The sequence below is a fragment of the Homo sapiens genome, chromosome 19, assembly GCF_000001405.40.
Source record: "Homo sapiens chromosome 19, GRCh38.p14 Primary Assembly".
NCBI lineage: Eukaryota > Metazoa > Chordata > Mammalia > Primates > Hominidae > Homo > Homo sapiens.
This window is the reverse complement of record NC_000019.10, coordinates 10870194-10884236: the sequence shown is the minus strand read 5'-3', so window position 1 is coordinate 10884236 and position 14043 is coordinate 10870194. Positions and strand designations below refer to the sequence as shown.

At 54.9% G+C, this 14043-nt stretch overlaps 1 protein-coding gene across 4 annotated transcripts in view, besides 14 other annotated features; it reads right to left on the bottom strand.

The window, feature by feature from the left end:
- The window catches only part of CARM1 (coactivator associated arginine methyltransferase 1), a 51523-nt gene extending 38839 nt beyond the window's left edge, over positions 1-12684 (bottom strand). For 2 of the 4 annotated variants that reach the window (NM_199141.2, NM_001370088.1), the window contains exon 1: positions 12315-12684. In NM_199141.2, coding sequence (NP_954592.1) covers positions 12315-12534 — 220 coding nt within the window. In that variant the 5' untranslated portion in view covers positions 12535-12684. Of the gene's footprint in view, positions 1-11644; positions 11809-12314 lie in introns of those variants that run through there. The other 2 variants (XM_047438058.1, NM_001370089.1) reach the window with 1 other exon arrangement.
- Positions 198-1038: an enhancer, noted in NCBI's record as "H3K27ac-H3K4me1 hESC enhancer chr19:10993875-10994715 (GRCh37/hg19 assembly coordinates)". NCBI's record gives its function as "activates a minimal SCP1, AML or CMV promoter by ChIP-STARR-seq in primed H9 embryonic stem cells {active_cell/tissue: H9 hESC(primed)}" and the evidence as "EXISTENCE:reporter gene assay evidence [ECO:0000049][PMID:30033119]".
- Positions 1039-1880: an enhancer, noted in NCBI's record as "H3K27ac-H3K4me1 hESC enhancer chr19:10993033-10993874 (GRCh37/hg19 assembly coordinates)". NCBI's record gives its function as "activates a minimal SCP1, AML or CMV promoter by ChIP-STARR-seq in primed H9 embryonic stem cells {active_cell/tissue: H9 hESC(primed)}" and the evidence as "EXISTENCE:reporter gene assay evidence [ECO:0000049][PMID:30033119]".
- Positions 1881-2722: an enhancer, noted in NCBI's record as "H3K27ac-H3K4me1 hESC enhancer chr19:10992191-10993032 (GRCh37/hg19 assembly coordinates)". NCBI's record gives its function as "activates a minimal SCP1, AML or CMV promoter by ChIP-STARR-seq in primed H9 embryonic stem cells {active_cell/tissue: H9 hESC(primed)}" and the evidence as "EXISTENCE:reporter gene assay evidence [ECO:0000049][PMID:30033119]".
- Positions 2723-3565: an enhancer, noted in NCBI's record as "H3K27ac-H3K4me1 hESC enhancer chr19:10991348-10992190 (GRCh37/hg19 assembly coordinates)". NCBI's record gives its function as "activates a minimal SCP1, AML or CMV promoter by ChIP-STARR-seq in naive H9 embryonic stem cells {active_cell/tissue: H9 hESC(naive)}" and the evidence as "EXISTENCE:reporter gene assay evidence [ECO:0000049][PMID:30033119]".
- Positions 4407-5249: an enhancer, noted in NCBI's record as "NANOG-H3K27ac-H3K4me1 hESC enhancer chr19:10989664-10990506 (GRCh37/hg19 assembly coordinates)". NCBI's record gives its function as "activates a minimal SCP1, AML or CMV promoter by ChIP-STARR-seq in primed H9 embryonic stem cells {active_cell/tissue: H9 hESC(primed)}" and the evidence as "EXISTENCE:reporter gene assay evidence [ECO:0000049][PMID:30033119]".
- Positions 7057-7286: an enhancer, noted in NCBI's record as "active region_13999". NCBI's record gives its function as "activates an Ori minimal core promoter by ATAC-STARR-seq in GM12878 lymphoblastoid cells {active_cell/tissue: GM12878}" and the evidence as "EXISTENCE:reporter gene assay evidence [ECO:0000049][PMID:35858748]".
- Positions 7467-7616: an enhancer, noted in NCBI's record as "active region_13998". NCBI's record gives its function as "activates an Ori minimal core promoter by ATAC-STARR-seq in GM12878 lymphoblastoid cells {active_cell/tissue: GM12878}" and the evidence as "EXISTENCE:reporter gene assay evidence [ECO:0000049][PMID:35858748]".
- Positions 8936-9436: an enhancer, noted in NCBI's record as "H3K27ac hESC enhancer chr19:10985477-10985977 (GRCh37/hg19 assembly coordinates)". NCBI's record gives its function as "activates a minimal SCP1, AML or CMV promoter by ChIP-STARR-seq in naive H9 embryonic stem cells {active_cell/tissue: H9 hESC(naive)}" and the evidence as "EXISTENCE:reporter gene assay evidence [ECO:0000049][PMID:30033119]".
- Positions 9437-9937: an enhancer, noted in NCBI's record as "H3K27ac hESC enhancer chr19:10984976-10985476 (GRCh37/hg19 assembly coordinates)". NCBI's record gives its function as "activates a minimal SCP1, AML or CMV promoter by ChIP-STARR-seq in naive H9 embryonic stem cells {active_cell/tissue: H9 hESC(naive)}" and the evidence as "EXISTENCE:reporter gene assay evidence [ECO:0000049][PMID:30033119]".
- Positions 10475-10594: an enhancer, noted in NCBI's record as "active region_13997". NCBI's record gives its function as "activates an Ori minimal core promoter by ATAC-STARR-seq in GM12878 lymphoblastoid cells {active_cell/tissue: GM12878}" and the evidence as "EXISTENCE:reporter gene assay evidence [ECO:0000049][PMID:35858748]".
- Positions 11235-11414: an enhancer, noted in NCBI's record as "active region_13996". NCBI's record gives its function as "activates an Ori minimal core promoter by ATAC-STARR-seq in GM12878 lymphoblastoid cells {active_cell/tissue: GM12878}" and the evidence as "EXISTENCE:reporter gene assay evidence [ECO:0000049][PMID:35858748]".
- Positions 12155-12364: a silencer, noted in NCBI's record as "silent region_10094". NCBI's record gives its function as "represses an Ori minimal core promoter by ATAC-STARR-seq in GM12878 lymphoblastoid cells {active_cell/tissue: GM12878}" and the evidence as "EXISTENCE:reporter gene assay evidence [ECO:0000049][PMID:35858748]".
- Positions 12455-12504: a silencer, noted in NCBI's record as "silent region_10093". NCBI's record gives its function as "represses an Ori minimal core promoter by ATAC-STARR-seq in GM12878 lymphoblastoid cells {active_cell/tissue: GM12878}" and the evidence as "EXISTENCE:reporter gene assay evidence [ECO:0000049][PMID:35858748]".
- Positions 12635-13424: a silencer, noted in NCBI's record as "silent region_10092". NCBI's record gives its function as "represses an Ori minimal core promoter by ATAC-STARR-seq in GM12878 lymphoblastoid cells {active_cell/tissue: GM12878}" and the evidence as "EXISTENCE:reporter gene assay evidence [ECO:0000049][PMID:35858748]".

The window sequence follows — 14043 nt, the reverse complement described above, 5'->3', positions numbered from 1 at the left end:
CCAGAGTAACTGGGATTACAGGCATGCGCCACCATGCCTGGATAATTTTTGTGTTTTTAGTAGAGAAGGGGTCTCCACATTGGTCAGGCTGGTCTCGAACTCCTGACCTCAAGTGATCCGCCCACCTCGGCCTCCCAAAGTGCTGGGATTACAGGTGTGAGCCACTGCACCTGGCCCGTAATTAAAAAAACAAAAAACAAAAAACGAAAAAAAAAAAAAAAAACAGAGTCTCGCTCTGTCACCCAGGCCGGAGTGCAGTGGCATGATCTTGGCTCACTGCAACCTCCGCCTCCTGGGTTCAAGTGATTCTCCTGCCTCAGCCTCCCAAGTAGCTGGGATTACAGGCGCACACCACCGCGCCCAGCTAATTTTTGTATTTTTAGTAGAGATGGGGTTTCACCATGTTGGCCAGGCTGGTCTTGAACTCCTGACCTCAAGTGATTCACCTGCCTCAGCCTCCCAAAGTGCTGGGATTACAGGCGTGAGCCACCACTCCCAGCCAATTTTTTTAAAAAATTAGCCAGCCGTGGTGGCGCATACCTGTAGTCCCAGCTACTCAGGAGGCTAAGGCAGGAGGATTGCTTGAGCCCAGGATTTCAAGGCTAACAGTGAGCTATGATCGCACCACTGCACGCCGGCCTGAGGAACACAGCAAGACCCTGTCTCTTAAGCCAAACAAAGAAGTGGCAGGGCCGGCACCGTGGACTTTCTGGGCAGATCTGGAGGCTGCTGAGGGTCCGCCCTGCGCGATCCTTGAGACTGAAACGTGAAGCTCCCCAAGCAGTTCCCCAGAGTGAGATCAGGAAGCAGATCCAGAGGGTGCCGGAGAAGGCCCCTGGGACAGATAAACTACACCGGGGAAAGGGACTCCTCCTCAATCACTGGGGACGAGGGGGTCTTGGGCAGGATTCCCAGGGCTACTCTGTGTCCTACCTACCCCCACACCTGGACAACTTGGGATACATCTTCTCTTCCAGGCCACATAGCAGGCTCAGGAGACCAAGGATTCACCTATGTTGGGTGTGGGCCAATCCTCGAAAGCCCCCTCCATTTAATGGGAGGAAACTGGAGGGAGAACCACGGTTCCCTGGACAAGGTCCCAAGGTGAGGCTCCCATGTGTGCTAATCAGGACCGCCTGCAGCCTCTAACCCAGAGAGTGCTGGGAGGCCAGGGATAGCATTCCAGCCAGGAAAGGCAGAGAGTAGCAGGGCTGACCACAGACACCCTGCAGGCCCCTGGGTCCCCCTCCTTTGCAGCTCACCTCTCTCTGGCCAGGCCAGCCTCTCCCCTACCTCTCCTTAGCTGCCATTCTCTTCAAGGTGCTCCCTAGACCACTTCCCCAGCAGAGGAGATGGGGTTCTCTGTCTGCCTTCTCTCTGCTCCCCAAGACTGAGGTCGGGCACGGTGGCTCATGTCTGCAATCCCAGCACTTTGGGAGACCAAGGCGGGCAGATCCACTTGAGGTTAGGAGTTCGAGGCCAGCCTGGCTAACATGGTGAAACCCCGTCTCTACTAAAAACACAAAAATTAGCCGGGCATGGTGTCACATGCCTATAGTCCCAGAGACTCAGGAGGCTGAGGCACAAGAATCACTTGAACCTGGGAGGCGGAGGTTGCAATGAGCAGAAATCGCTCCACTGTATTCCAGCCTGGGCGACAGAGTGAGACCCTGTCTCAAAAAAAAAAAAAAAAAAAAAAAAAGACAGAGTGCACTGGAGATTGGGGGGCTGTGTCCGACTTGGGCAGGGCTCTGTATACAGTCCAGCCACAGATGTCTACTCTGGCCAAGGCCACTTTCCACCAGGGAAGCCACTCACCGAATCCTCCCACCAATAAGGAAGCTGAGATTCGGGGACACTGAGGCATTTGCCCATGATCGCCCCGCCAGGAAAGCACAGCGGGCCACAGCATGGCTGGAGCCCAGCCTCCATCACAGGCGTCCCTTGCCTCCCCATCCCCCCCACTGCATGCCCTTGGCCATGCCAGGCCCACAAGTTCATTCCCAGAGGAGGTCTTCCCTCCTGCAGTGCCAGACGCTATTTTAAGCACTTTACTTCTATCAGCTCGCCACTCACAACAACCCTCTAGGGTAGACGATGTCAAGATCCACAACTGACAGCCAAGGAAACTGAGGCACAAAGTGGTCACCGGGATGCTAAGGAGTGGATCAGGACTTGCCAGCTGGCCCCTGCTAGAGCTCTTACCACAAGCACGACTCTGCCCTCAGCCTCCCTCTAAGCAGAGCCCCTCCCCCAGCATCCTGGAGCCCCTCAGCTTGTTTTAAGTGATTGCTGATTTAGCGCTCCTCAGACAATGTCCCCAGGCCTGCAAATGTGGGACCTTGTGTTTATCTCGGGTGTCACCACATCCCTGGGCTCCTAAAACAGTAACTGGTGCACAGCAGACGCTTGGTGAATTTCTGCTGACCATTTCAAGCTGGCTGGATGGGAGCTACCGCACTATGGAGACGGCGAGTCCACTTTCGCTGCCTGTTTCTGGCTGAATGAATGAAAGAGTGGGTCTCAGTGGGCTGGGAAAGGTCACCGTCCCCCCTGCTCTCTCTGCAGCTCCACTGTCACCTCCCCCAAGACCTGCCATCTGGCTGGCCCCTCCCCCACCCCAGCCCTCCAGGGGACTGCTCTCTGAGGTCACCTGTGACCTCCTGCTCAGAAATCCAGTGACCGCCCCTTGGCTCTCACTCTGACCTCTCACGGCATCTGACCTTGCTGCCCTCTCCTTCCTGCCCTTTCAAAGCTTCTCGCCTGTCCCTGGAGAGATGTCCTGGCCCTGCGCAGAGAGCCCCCAATCCCTTACCAGCCAGGGCAGACTCCACTCCCCAATCAGGTGCTGTCCTCCAGGAACTGGTACCCTTTTTCAGTCACAGATCCTTCTGAGAAGCTGACCGAAATCAGGGGAGGTTCTGCACAGAAAAATGTGCAGAGAATCCACAGCTACACCACGGCCAATTTATGGAGCACTTACTTCGGGCCAGGCACACAGGGCAAAGCTTTTCTTTTCTTTCTTCCTTTTCATATATCACAAGTCATCAAGCAAGAAGCATTTTTTTTTAGAGACAAGGTCTTGCCCTGTTTCCCGGGATGGAGTGCAGTGGTACGATTATGGCTCAATGTAGCCTCAAGCTTCTGGGCTCAAGCAATCCTCCCGCCTCAGCCTCTGGAATAGCTGGGACTAGAGGCATGTGCCACCATGCCGGCTAATTTTTTTAAATTATTTTTTAAGAGATACAGTTTCACTGTGTTTCCCGGGCTGGTTGTAAATTCCTGGACTCAAACCGCCCTGCTGCCTCGGCCTCCCAAAACCTGGGATTACAGGCATGAGCCTCTGTGCCCAACTGGGGTGAAGTATTTTACATGTGTTTCCTCCCCTCCACGAAAACCTCCAGGGAGGTGCCACTGTCACCCCCTTTCAGGGAGGGAAAGTGAAGCTCAGAGGCTCATCCACAGTCACAGCTACCGATTCTTGTCCTTTTACCCCTTTGCAAAACTGTGTCCAATTGTGAGGGGCTCATGGGACCGCCCCCAGGGGCCATCCACAGACCAGATTAAGAACCCGAGCTCTGGAGCCGTGGCTGCCATGACTCACACCTGTAATCCCAGCACTTTGGGGGCCAAGGTAGGAGAATCGCTTGAGCCCAGGAGTTCCACATCCGCCTGAGCAACATAGTGAGACCCTGTCTCTACAAAAAAAAAAAAAAAAAAAAATTAGCCAGGCATGGTGATGTGCGCCTGTGGTCCCAGCCTGTAGAGAGGCTGAGGGAGGGAGAATCCCTTGAGCCTGGGTGTTCAAGGCTGCAATGAGCTATGATCGTGTCACTGCACTCCAGCCTGGGTGACACAGCAAGACCCTGTCTCAAAAAAAGAAGAAAAAAAAATCCTAGCTCTGAGCTGATGGAACTGATGGAAACCCCTCCCAGCCTCAACTCGCCACCTCAAGCAGCCAGGTGTGGCCCAGGTGGGCCCCTCCATCCTGCCCTCGCTTAAGTGGCTGCTTCCCTGGATGTCTTTGCAAACTCACCACCTCCCAGGTTCTCCAGCAGACCTTAGAAGCAGCAGGTTTCCGCAGAAAGGAGACACACCTGCCACAGAGGTCTTCCTGAGCCTCTCCACCTGCTAAATCCAACCTGGTCTGAGGTGTGTGAGGCTTGGCATCTCAAAGTCATTAGCAAGTTCACACCACACTCCAGCTTCTGTTGAAAGGCCTTGCCCACCCATCTCATCCAGACCCCCTACACAGAGGGCCAGTGCTTGGTGACCAGGAGCTGCTCACAGCACTGGACACCTTCCATTAAGATTTCACCTGAGGCTGGGTGCGGTGACTCATGCCGGTAATCCTAGGACTTTGGGAGGCCAAGGCAGATGGATCACTTGAGGTCAGGAGTTCAAGACCAGCCTGGCCAAAAGGGTGAGACCCCCGTATCTACTAAAAATACAAAAATTATCTGGGTGTGGTTGCACGCACTTATAATCCTAGCTACTTGGGAGTCTGATGCAGGAGAATGACTTGAACCTGGGAGGCTAGAGGTTGCAGTGAGATGACATTGAGCCACTGTGCTCCAGCCTGGGTGACAGGGCGAGAATTCATCTCCAAAAAAACCAAAAAAATCCTCGATTCCAACCCAGCCCTGTTTCCACTTTTAGCCCCTCCACTCCTCACAGGGGACCCTGTGCTCCAAGCCAGGTGGCTGTCTCCAGCCCTGGCCCACTGGAGCACCTCTCCATAACCCAGAAACGTCCTTCCCAACATTCTGGCCAGGTCCAGATCCTACCCACTGTGGCCAAGGTGACTCCCTGTATGTTCTCTCTTTGTCCATGGAAACTGGAACCCTAAATTCAGCTGAGCACATGGCCGCTCAGATTGAAAACTACATTTCCCAGCATCCCTTGCAGCTGGCAGTGATCATGTGACTACATTCTAGCCAACAAAATGAAAGCTGAAGCACCTTGCATCAGCTACCGGGAACCTTTCTTAACAAACACCTGGATGTGACCTTTGCACCCTTTCTCCTTTGTCCCTTCCTCTGTCCTGCTGTCTGGAAGCCAGGGTGTAATGGCGGGACTCCAGCAGTCATGCTGAAACCTGAGGACAAGACCTCACCTTAAGAATGGTGGAGGATCAGCCTGGGGCAGTGGCCTGTAATCCCAGCACTTTGGGAGGCCGAGGCGGGTGGATCACCTGAGGTCAGGAGTTTGAGAACAGCCTGGCCAACGTGGCGATACCCCGTCTCTACTAAAAATACAAAAATTAGCCAGCCGTGGTGGCACACGCCTGTAGTCCCAGATACTTGGGAGGCTGAGGCAGGAGAATCGCTTGAACCCGGGAGGCAGAGGATGCAGTGAGCTGAGATCACACCACTGCACTGCAGCCCCTGGGCAACAGAGCGAGACACCATCTCAAAAAAAAAAAAAAAGCCGGGGGGAGGACCTGGATCTGGGAACTTCCAAGAGCCCAGGAGACTTTGGCACCTGACAATCTTCACACTTTAGCATTAGAGCACAAAAAATAAAATGCCATCGTGTTTAATTAAGCCTCTGCTACTTTGGGTCTTTGTGATGAACAGATAAATGTCACTGAACCACTTATATATGCATTTAAGGTGGGCATCCAGTCACCCAGAATGCCAAAGCCATCTCTGCTGCCTGCCAACCACATCACTTTGGCCAGTCAAGTTCTTTCATTTCTGTTTTTCCACCAGTAAATTGGGGTTGGTATCTCTGACCTCACAGAACTCTTTTCAGAGTAAGTGGTAACATACAGTAAGCGCCACAATTGGCACAAGGGGCTCACACAATTCAGAAGTATGCTCTATTCGGCCTGAGGATTTTTTGGTTTCTCTTTTGGCTGGGGCCAAACTCCCCACAGACCCCAACTCCTGCCTGCCTCATTCATTTATCCCAGGGGTCTACAAGCTTCCCCTGCCTCGGGCCAGTGAGTAAATATTTCAGGTTTTGCAGGACACTGTGGTCTCAACTGATTATTGTTGTTTGTGGATTGGGTTTTAGTTTTTTTCCCTAATCAATCTCTCAAAAACTGTAAAAGCCTTTCTTAGCTTTGTCTGTACAAAAATAGGCCACACCGGGCCCAGCGGTTCGTGACTATAATCCCAGCTACTTCTGAGGCTCAGGCAGGAGGAGGATGGTTTGAGGCCAGGGGTTTGGGGCCAGCCTGGGAAACACAGCAAGACTCTGTCTCTAAAAAAATTGCTTAAATTAGCCAAGGGTGGTGACATGTGCTTGTAGTCCCAGCTACTTGGGAGGATGAGGCCAGAGGATCACTTGAGCCCAGGAGTTAGAGGCTGCAGTGAGCTACTAAAATACAAAAAATTAGCTGGGCATGGCGGCATGTGCCTGTAATCCCAGCTACTCGGGAGGCTGAGACAGGAGAATCGCTTGAACCTGGGAGGCAGAGGTTGCAGTGAGCCGAGATTGCGCCACTGCATTCCAGCCTGGGCAACAGAGCGAGATTCCATCTCAAAATAAATAAATAATAAAACACAGGCTGGGTGCGGTGGCTCGCACCTGTAATCCCAGCATTTTGGGAGGCTGAGGCAGGCAGATTATTTGAGGTCAGGAGTTCGAGGCCAGCCTGGCCAAGATGGTGAAACCCTGTCTCTACTAAAAATACAAAAATTAGCCAGGGTGGTGGCACAGGCCTGTAATCCCAGCTACTCAGGAGGGTGAGGCATGAGAATCACTTGAACCTGGGAGGTGGAGGTTACAGTGAGCCAAGACCATGCCATTGCACTCCAGCCTGGGCAACACAGTGAGACTCTGTCTCACTAATAAAATACAAACACAGATAAAAATAGGCCACAGGCTCAATGTGGCCCATAGGCCTAATTTATATCACTGCCCTTTCCCTAGCTGCCCCCAAGGTCAAGCATTTTGAGTCAACACAAGTTTATGCACAGTCTGGTACGGGATAAATGCTCAATAAATGACGGTATCCATTAGCCACACGCAGGCACCGCTGAAACACAAATGCCTTTCTGGGGTTACTAACTTTCCCTGTTGTCACTCCAGCTTGACACCGAGATGTCCTAAAGATGGGGCACATAACAAGCTCTTCTATACCCCTGCCCCAGCTGTCAGGGGGATCCCAGGAGTGTAACCAAAGGAAGTCACAAGGGCCCCTGGTTCGGTGACAGCAGGCCATTCTTCACCTTCTTTGGACAAAGGGTTTTTCTCTGAACTTTCCACCCCATGGCATGCCCCTCACAAACTGAAGTTTAGCCCCTGACGGAGCCCATGCTGCTGTGTAAGCTTCTGAGCCAAGGGGATGGGAGAGTCTAAAGCACTGGCCACACTGACTCGTGCTGACCAAGAAAGAAAAGTGACACAGTCATTTCCAGAAAGAGCGCCACAGGGCTGGGGAAGTGAGAGTTTGTTCTGTTCTCTTTCCCGGCACCCCTCCCTGAGAAACTGCCTCCTTTCCAAGGGAGGGCAGCCTATGCCCAGGAACTCCAGAGGCCATGCCAAAGCTTCCTCAAGCCCAGGAAGCCCACGCCAAAGGGCCTCCCCCTCTGCACAGGGAAAATGGCCTGGTGTTGGTAGTTGCCATTTGGCCAATCTCATGGACGTAGGCCAGGGTGACTTCAGATGGCAAGAAGTAACTGTTCACTACAGAGTGACAGAGACAGGCCCTTCTGCAGCTGTCATCCTTCCCCTGGAGGGTGCAGACGTCAAGGAACAGGGCTGGAAGTCCTCCCCACGTGCCTCTCCTGGGCCTCCTATGTTAGGTACAGATCATGGCCCAGGACTCCCTCCCATGGCCGGTGAGCCAAGACAGCGGGGCAGCCCTGGAGCATAGGGGGCTCCTCCTAGAAAAGCTAGCTCATTCCCATGCCACACCAACGAACACTGCTGTCAGTAACATGGACATAAATATTTATTGGCCGGGCGCAGTGGCTCACGTCTGTAATCCTAGCACTTTGGGAGGCCAAGGCAGGAGGACTGCTTGAGCCCAGGAGTTCAAGACCAGCCTGGGCAAAATAGTGAGACCGCATCGCTAGAAGAAACTTAAAAATTAGCCATATGTGAGGCTGGTGGCGGTGGCTCACACCTGTAATCCCAGCACTTTAGGAGGCCAAGGTGGGCGGATCACCTGAGGTCAGGAGTTCGAGACCAGCCTGACCAACACGGAGAAACCCCATCTCTACTAAAAATACAAAAAAAATTAACCGGGCATGGTGGCACATGCCTCTAATCCCTGTAATCCCAGGACTTTGGGAGGCCAAAGCAGGCGAATCGCTCGAACCCGGGAGGCAGAGGTTGCAGTGAGCCGAGATCACGCCATTGCACTCCAGCCTGGGCAAAATTCCATCTCAAAAAAAAAAAAAAGACAGACATCCAAGTTGTAACCCCTGGAATCTGTGAAGGTGACCTTATTAGGAAATAGGGTCTTTGCAGATAAGGATCTTGAGATGAGATCATCCTAGATATAAAGTGGGCCCTAAATCCAATGCCCAGTGTCCTTATAAGAAAAGAACAGCTGGGGCCGGGCACGGTGGCTCAAGCCTGTAATCCCAGCACTTTGGGAGGCCAAGGTGGGCAGATCACGAGGTCAGGAGATGGAGACCATCCTGGCTAACACGGTGAAACCCCGTCTCTACTAAAAATACAAAGAATTAGCCGGGCGTGGTGGCGGGCGCCTGTAGTCCCAGCTACCCGGGAGGCTGAGGCAGGAGAATGGCCTGAACCCAGGAGGCAGAGCTTGCAGTAAGCGGAGATCGCGCAATTGCACTTCAGCCTGGGTGACAGAGCCAGACTCCGTCTCAAAAAAAAAAAGAAAAGAAAAGAACAGCTGAGGTGGGAGGATCACTTGAGCCTAGGAGTTCGAGACCAGCCTATAACACGGCGAGACTCCATCTCACTTTAAAAAAAAAAGGAAAAAAGAGGACACAAGACACAGGAGTGAAGACAGACGCAGGGACTTGGGTTTCGCTGCTGCAAATCAAGCAACAGCTGGATCCACTGCAATCTGGAAGATGCAAGGATTTTCCTGTAGAACCTCTCCAGGGATTGTGGCCCTGCCAGTACCATGATTTCAGACTTCTGACCATGAACTGAGAGAGAATCCATTCCTGTTGTCTTAAACCAAAAATCTGTCATAATTTGTTATTGCAGCCATGGGAAATTAATACACCCAGCACTGATCACCTCCAACTCCAGAACCCATGCTTTTTTTTTTTTTTTCAGACAGGGTCTTGCTCTGTCACCCAGGCTGACATGCAGTGGTGCAATCTCAGCTCACTGTAACCTCTGCTTCCCTGGTTCAAGCGATCCTCCCACCTCATCCTCCGGAGTAGCTGGGACTACAGTCGCAGGTACCACCACACCTGGCTAATTTTTGCATTTTTAGCAGAGACGAGATTTTGCCATGTTGGCCAAGCTGGTCTCAACCTCCTGACCTCAAGTGATTCGCCTGCCTCAACCTCTCAAAGTGCTGGGATTACAGGTGTGAGCCACCACGCCTGGCCAAGAACCCATGTTTTTTATCTCCATATCAATGTTACTTAAGGATAAAGAGGGCGGTGCGGTGGCTCATGCCTGTAATTCCAGGACTGTGGGAGGCCAAGGAGGGAGGATCACTTGAGCCCAGGAGTTTGAGACCAGCCTGGCCAACACAGTGAAAACCCTTTCTCTACAAAAAATATGAAAGATTAGCTGGGTGTGGCACATGCCTGTGGTCCCAGCTACTAGGGAGGCTGAGGTATGAGGATCACTTTAGCCATGGAAGGCTGCAGTGAGCTGAGACTGAGACTGTACCACTGCACTCCAGTCTGAGCAACAGAGTGAGGCCCTGTCTGAAAAAATAAAAAATAAAAATAAAAAAAATAAAAAAGAAAGAAAAAAAACAAAAAAGTGTAAAAAAAAATTATTTCAGAACCCTAAGGATATATCATCTGGGAATCTGGGACTGAGGCTCTCTGAGGAATGTGGACTTTCTCCTTTTTATGAATGTTTCCGGTCAGGTGGGGTGGCTCACACCTGTAATCCCAGCATTCTGGGAGGCAGGAAGATCACTTGAGCTCAGAAGTTGGAGACCAGCCTGGGCAACACAGTGACATAGTGAAACCTTGTCTCTAATAATAAAAAATGTTTCAGTTACCAATTACCTCTCAAAGAGAAGTGCTGTCTTAATAACAAGTAATACTTTCAAGAGTATCAACAAAACAAAAACAAAAACACAAATACAAACACAAAATGTTACTCCAGGAATAAGATGGTAGGAACATCTCACTATGTTGCCAATACATCTATAAGACTAAAATTGTTCTGGCCGGGCGGGGTGGCTCATGCCTGTAATCCCAGCACTTTGGGAGGCCAAGGCGGGTGGATCACGAGGTCAGGAGATCAAGACCATCCTGGCTAACATGGTGAAACCCCGTCTCTACTAAAAACACAAAAAATTAGCCGGGCATGGCGGCAGGCGCCTGTAGTCCCAGCTACTCGGGAGGCTGAGGCAGGAGAATGGCGTGAACCCAGGTGGCAGAGCTTGCAGTGAGCCGAGATTGAGCCACTGCACTTCAGCCTGGGGGACCGAGCAAGACTCTGTCTCAAAAAAAAAAAAAAAAAAAAAAAAAAAAAAAAACTAAACTAAAATTGTTCTAAAAAAAATTTTTTTTTTGAGATGGAGTCTCACTCTGTCTCCCCGGCTGGAGTGCAATGGCACGATCTCAGCTCATTGCAACCTCTGCCTCCCAGGTTCAAGTGATTCTCCTGCCTCTGCCTCCCGAGTAGCTGGGACAGGCACATGTCACCACACCCCGCTGTTTTGTATTTTTAGTAGAGACGGGGTTTCACCATGTTGGCCAGGCTGGTCTCGAACTCCTGACCTCAAGTGATCCTCCCAAAGTGCTTAGCCTCCCAAAGTGCTGAGCTACCCCGCCTGGTCCTAAAAAAATTTTTTAAAGGTTTACTTAAAAATGATAGCCAACTCTCCTGGAACTCCTTTGAGGATAAGCCCTGGGACCCTAGTTTTGGAAACGCTGCCCCGCTTTGTTCTGTTCAGGACAAAGTTGGCTACCAATGCTTGCCCAGTGAATAGGTTTTGCTTATGATCTGGGGTTCTGTTGAGCTGAGTGTCTGCCTTGAACTCTGAAACCCCCGCTGAAATACCCTCCTTCCCCTCTCATCTGGTCCAAGAAGACCCAGGCTCTGCACCAGCAAAAAGAGACGGCACCCTCGGACAGCAGACACAACTCCTTTAGTCCACGTTTTCAAAGTCGAGGTGCAGGGAAAACCCAGTGTGAACGGACTGCTCCTCGGGCTTTCCTTTAATCGGGCCGTTTCCAAAGTGGCAAAAAATTCACACAGGACCCAAGCTAGCTAGAGGCCTCCTGAGGGGTTCCCCAGGGCATCAGTGCAAGAAGCCCTGAAAGACAAAGCCAAATGACACAGAGTAGCAAAATGTGAACAAGGAATCAAAGAGAAGAGATAAGAAGGAGTAACAAGAAGAAGAATGAACTACAAAGACTGGGAGCGGGGGTGGGGGGTGCTGGCAAACGCATTTGTGATTTTCTTTTCCCCCCAGTGAAATGTCAGTTTTGAAAGCAGCTTCGGAAAATGTAACCAGCTTCTCACATCCCCCAAAAGAAGATGGGAGGAGGCTGTTAGCTCTTACTTCGAAGCCCGGCATCAGGAAGGGGCCCGTCCCGTCCACGTTTCCACGAGGAGCTCACCCTGCGGCTCCCACCGTCCCCGCATGGGCCCTCTCCCCAGATCCTGAAGTTTCCCATTCGGGGGTCCTGAACGCCACACCTCGCACAGCGGTGGAACTCGGTACTCGCGGGCGCCCCAGACCAGCAAACACTTTCCAACCGTCCTGAGCTATCCAGGGGGTCCCCAGAGGGATCCCGGGCCGCCCACGCCCCACCCTCCTCCCTGCAGAGGCGGCCACGCCCGCCCCCGAGACGCCCACCTCTCCCGCACCCCGGACCTCCCTCCCCCACGCTTAAGCCCACCACGCCTGGCGTCCTCCAAATTCCCCTTCCACTCAGAGCCCCCCACTTCCTGCTCACCCACCCCTCCCAAATCTCAGGCCCTTCACTCCCCATTTCGCGCTCCCTTGCTCACTCTGGGCACCTTGCCCCTCCGGCCACCACGCACGCCCTCTTTTCTCTGTCTGTCCCCTGGCACCGGCCCTCCACGGTCGCTCCCTGCAGGCCACCGGCTCAGTCCCGGGGACCCCACGCCAGGCCCCCGCGCTCAGGGCCCCTCCCCGCCGGCCCCCGCCCCGGGCCGGCCTCGTGAGCAGCCCCGGCCCTGCGCCTGCCCCGGGGCCCCGTACTCACGGCTGTAGAGGGCGATGCCCGCCGAGTCCGGGCCGGCGCGCACCTCGAGGCGCAGCGCCTGCTGCTCCGCGTGCCGCTGGATCTCGCCGTTCGCGTCGCCGATGGTGAGGAGGCGGGCGCCGGGGAACACCGACACGGTAGCGCAGGGCCCCGCGCCGCCCGGGACCGCCGACCCCGCGCCGCCCGCGCCCGGCCCCACCGCCGCCGCCGCCGCTGCCATCTTAGATCCGGCTCCAGGCCCCGCCGCCGCCGCCGCTGCGCCCGGGCCCAGGCCGCCGCCGCTGCCGCCGCCGCCGCCGCCGCCGCCGCCGCCGCCGCCGCCGCCGCCGCCGCTGCCGCTACCGCCGCCGCAGCCGCCGTGCAGGCCGAGGCCGAGCCGGGCAGCGCCGCCTGCCGGCCACGCGCCGCCTCGCCGCCGCCGCCGCCACCGTCGCCGCGGCCCGGCCCCGTGGCGCAGCGCCCTCTGCCGGCCGTCCTGGGCGCGGGGAGCTAGCGAGCGAACGAGAGGGCACCCCGTGGGGCGGGACCGGCTACGCCCCGCCCCGCGAGAACGGTCGCCGCTTTGTGAGGTGGCTCCACCGCCCGGGAACTGCGGGGCGGGAGGGTACGTCGGGGGCGGTGCTCGGGCGCGCGGGCACGCCCCTCGGAGGCCTGGGCCCCGCCCCCAGGCCGGCGCCTCATTAACGGCTGCTTTCGAGTGAGGCGGTGCGGGGACGGCGGGGGCGGTGCTCGGCCGCGTGGACACGCCCTGTACCCCGCCCCACACAAGCAGCCGCGCGTCGTGATGCGGCTTCCCTGCCCCGACCTGGACACGCCCCTGAGACTGGGCCCCACCCCCCCGGGCCCGCCCGGCTTTGTGAGGCAGCCCTCAGGGAGGCGTGGCCCAGCCGCGACGAGGCCCCGCCCCCGTGCCTGCCCGCGCCCTCCCACCCGGACTCGCTTTGTCAGCCGCCCCGCTCTGGGGAATGGGCGGGGGAAAGGGCGTGGCCAGCGCCCGGGCCTCGCCCCCAACCCTTCCCCCCACCGCCCCCGCACCGACGATTTCCGATGAGCCCTGGCCTCCAGGAGCAACCTGAGCCCGGTTGAAAGGACCCCTCCCCGACATTCGACCGCTCCTCCTCCCTTCCCCATCATCTCTGCCCACATTGCCTTCTTAATCCTTAATGTTTGACTGTCTCCTTTCGCACAAGATATCCTTTGACCCCCTCCTCTCTCAGCCCCTCCTCCAACGATGCTGAGTCCAGCCTGGCCCGGCGCAGGGCCCCTCTCCCGCCACACAAACCCGTCTTCTCTCTGCATCCCCCTTCATTTTGGGTGGCCCCATCTCTTTTGGGCGACCCAGTGAGCTTGGGCCACTTCCTAGCACTCCAGCTTTAACTCTTCCCTAGACCTCATTTACGCCTCATTCCTTTTTTTTTTTTTTTTTTTTCTTTGAGACGGAGTCTCGCTCTGTCTCCCAGGCTGGAGTGCAATGGCTCGATCTCAGCTCACCGCAACCTCCGCCTCCCGGGTTCAAGTGATTCTCCTGCCTCAGCCTCCCGAGTAGCTGGGACTACAGGCATGCTCTACCACGCCCAGCTAATTTTTTATTTTTAGTAGAGACGAGGTTTCACCATGTTGGTCAGGCTGGTCTTGAACTCCTGACTTCAGGTGATCCGCCCGCCTCGGCATCCCAAAGTGCTGGGCCTACAGGCATGAGCCACCGCGCCCGGCCCCTTTTGTTTTTTGA